The sequence below is a fragment of the Homo sapiens genome, chromosome X (assembly GCF_000001405.40).
Source record: "Homo sapiens chromosome X, GRCh38.p14 Primary Assembly".
NCBI classification, from domain to species: domain Eukaryota; kingdom Metazoa; phylum Chordata; class Mammalia; order Primates; family Hominidae; genus Homo; species Homo sapiens.
In genome coordinates, this window is record NC_000023.11 from 100,069,769 (window position 1) to 100,073,655 (window position 3,887).

Here is a 3,887-nt window from a genome sequence, read left to right on the forward strand (position 1 = left end):
TAATATCAATCTTTCACATGTTTTTCATTCTCTCCATGTTTACACAGTACCTAAAACAGCTCTTAGATTATTTTGTGAATTGTACAGCCTTCTGTAGCCAGCTTTGAAGCAATTTTTTAAACCAGGAACAGGCTAATCAACAGTCTTTGGTTGCCCATAGTGAGTTTTCTACACCTTGATAACCATAAAGGTTTTCATTATTTTCAATAGAAATTTCTACTGCTTCTGTTTTAAGCACTTTTCCATTTTTAAATCTCTGAATAAAAAAGCTATTAAATATCTCTCCCCATAACAACCATTGAAGATGAGATTCCAATTACCTCTTGCCTTTAAAGTAAAATCCCTATCCCAGTAGCATGTTCTCATATGAAAAGAAAAACCCATTCTAATCTTGTTTACTACTCTTCTCTGAATTTTTCAGTTTTGCATCTCTATTTTAAAAGTATGGTGAAGTTGCCACATAGTAAGCACCAATATATGATAGCTATTATTACTATTATTATACCAGATGAAAAAGGAAGATACACTAGACCAATTATCAGAACATGACTGTTGAGCATAGTTCAAACCAACAGTTTAAATCTGCGAACTGGGGTACTCAGGAAGGAAAAGCTGGAACTCAAGAGTCAATACAGAAGAACAGTTGTCAGCATTAGAATACTGTGTCACAGGTCCTGTAGGCCACTAGTCTGTATAGTACAGACAAATACAAAGTGACTTAAGAACACTATAGGAGCCCAGAGATCAGTGCTAGGCAATCGTTTCCTGAGTAGACCAGCAGGGAGAATAACAATCAAAAGCTTTAAAGGGGGATTGGTTTGGGAACTGAAACAAAGCTGAAACTACAGGGGGGTAATTCACTAGGCCACACTGGGGGAATCCCAGAAGGTAGAAGCAGAAAAAAATTGAGGTTTCTTTGGTAAGAACTAAGATAAAGGTGTGCTCTTTGATAAGAGAAAGTACTTTGCACATAGCAATAGACACGTACTATTCTGCTGTTTACTGTGAGTCAAGTACCATTATAGATACTTTATTTTGACAATAAGAAAACATTAGAATCCCAAGAGTCTTGTGTACCTTTATATAAGAAATTATCCAAGTTATACTCTCCAAGGGTGAAATTAAGGAATTAAACTGCCCAACAAACTACATGTTTTTTATTATGCCAACAGAGAAATGCTGAAAAAACAATTATTGCTAACAACATGGAAATCTAATCCACTAGAGAGTTCTCCATGTTTTATAGAACCTCAGAGCTAAAAGGAACCTGAAAGACCATCGAGGTCAATCTCCTATTAAATTCATGAAAGAACTCTACCACCACCCAGACCTCTGGTCATTTAGCATTTATTTAAACACTTCTATAGAACTGAGGCGCACATTAAATTTTCAAATTGTTTCAAGTTTTATATTTGAACCAAACTCTGCCCTCTGATACTTATTCATCTTTACGAGTTTGCATAGATGTGGATCCAAACAGCCACTAAAGAGAAATCTAAATCTAATCCTTCCCCCGTCTGAAAATCCTTGTCAGTAAAGGGCACTGACATTGCCTTGCCAACTGGTAAAGACTTTAACCTCCTACATCAAAGCTTTTCTTGATCATTCATATATTGTATAAGTGGTAAATATGGTCAAGTCCACATGAAAACCAACTTCTGCTACTGAAGTGGCACAGTTATTAGATTTAGAACTCTCTTCAGTGAAATATTATGTCTAATTCATTACCGTGTCCTGAATATCACCAGACCCTGGAACATATTAGATGATGAACACCTATTTTTGATTGAGGCAATGCAGTTTCAACAGAAGCAAAAATACATATATAATCAAAGGTCAAAACATGTTTTGACTACAGTACAAGGTAAACTAAGCTAAGATCCTAGAAGACAGGTTGTCCTATTATTTCCAAACTATTCCTGACTCATTAAGGGCAATATTTTAATTTATAATATCAGGCTTATACATGCTTTTTACTTTCTGTGTATATTTACACATTGCCTAAAAATCATTACACTAAATTGTTTTACAGAATTGTACAAATGTGTAGACAAACAAAATAAGAAAAATAAACTTTTAAGCATTTTTTAAATCTAAAGGGAAATAATATGATTCTTTTACAAATCGAATGTGATGTTTACTACAAAAGAAAAATGATGATGGTGGTGATGATGATGGTGATGATGATGATGATGATGATGATGATAGCAGCTAACATTTATTGAGCATTTGCTACATGCCAGATACTGCACTCTTACATACATTATTTCATTTAAGCCTCATGAGTCATATAGTATCATCTCTGTTTTAAAGACAGAAGATAATACAGTGTAGAGTTTATGTGACTTACCTAAAGTCACACAGCAAGTTTGGAGCTGGAATCAAACTCAGGTCTATCTACTCTTAACATGTGTTAATTATATCTTTGAAAACAAACCATAGCAAGAATCCTTAAGAACATGACTAGTGACTAGATCCACTTCCATCCTTGTTCTTATGTTCAATCCTTTAATGATTTCACCTTGTTTAAAGCTAGATTGTCTCCATGAATTTTTGTCTACTTAGGCCCTGTCAAAATTATATGCAGTAACCTTAGGAAGCCAAAAGAGGCACCACTTACCTAAAAATTGCTCCATTTAGGATAGGAAAGCAAATTACCTAATTACCAGGCTATATGCCACTTTCTAGAGTTGCTCTCCTTTCTCTTGCTGCAATAGAATGATAGATGGAAACTGGCCAAGAGAAAAATCACTGGTGATGAATTGTGGTCACAAGCCACATGAAACACATTTAAAAGTGTCTAGAAATAAAGTTGAGTTTGTTCCAGGTAGAAACACAGACACACCCAAAAACATCTGCACCAAACAATTCTATCACAGAACTGCCTATCCCAGAGACTAAGTTCAGTCCAGAGGTTTTGAAAGCAGTGAAAATGTGATCCAAGGAAGCAAGGTCAACCCCACAAAACATGTCATCACATTTGCTCCTTCAATATGTACCTATGCTTTTTCCTTTGGAGAAAGGAAACAAATAGCCAGAGAAGTATTGCAGTATTATATTTTCCTGTTAATGTATCTAACCAATACAGAAGTAACATGATGAGTGGTGTCAGCACAGGATTTGGAATTGGACAGGCATGGATTAAACTTTCCAGTTCTGCAATGGCCACTTATTATAACTTATATGATGAGTGGTGTCAGCACAGAATTTGGAATTGGACAGGCATGGATTAAACTTTCCAGTTCTGCAATGGCCACTTATTATAACTTATATGGTGAGTCAGCATTAGCTCTCTGATCCTCATCTGTAAAATGTATGTATTACATATAAATATTATATAATTATATGTGTATGTATATATACTTGTTATATTTATATACACACATACATGTATACACATCTTCATAGGTTATAAACATTAATAATATATAATAATAAAGTGCCTGCCATATAGTAGGTTCTTGATAGCAAATTTAGTGGGTATAAATTTTTCTCCACACACTTGTGCATATTAGAAACATCAATTTTTGTTTAACCTTAACCAAATTTTACTCTGAGCCCTCATTCTACTGGACCTGCAGTAAATTAAATGGCCTTCATTACTGTACATCCCAACAGTCTCCCATAGAGCAGAACATTGGGGAAGGTTGCTGATTATAGGTTTACACCAGGCACCACTTATAAATTCTCATTGGACTTTTAAAATTGGACCACTCAATAGCTTCTGTACAATCCTGGACATAGGAATTTTTGTGAAGAATAGGCCTCAGATTTAGCATCCTTAGGTATACCACACAGCCTTCTAGACACACACACACACACACACACACACACACACACACACACACAGCTCAAGCACTTCAGTTTTCTTGATAACCCAATCCACA

General features: G+C 35.2%; 1 annotated feature.

The window, feature by feature from the left end:
• Positions 343 to 1,288: an enhancer, noted in NCBI's record as "OCT4-NANOG hESC enhancer chrX:99325109-99326054 (GRCh37/hg19 assembly coordinates)". NCBI's record gives its function as "activates a minimal SCP1, AML or CMV promoter by ChIP-STARR-seq in naive and primed H9 embryonic stem cells {active_cell/tissue: H9 hESC(naive and primed)}" and the evidence as "EXISTENCE:reporter gene assay evidence [ECO:0000049][PMID:30033119]".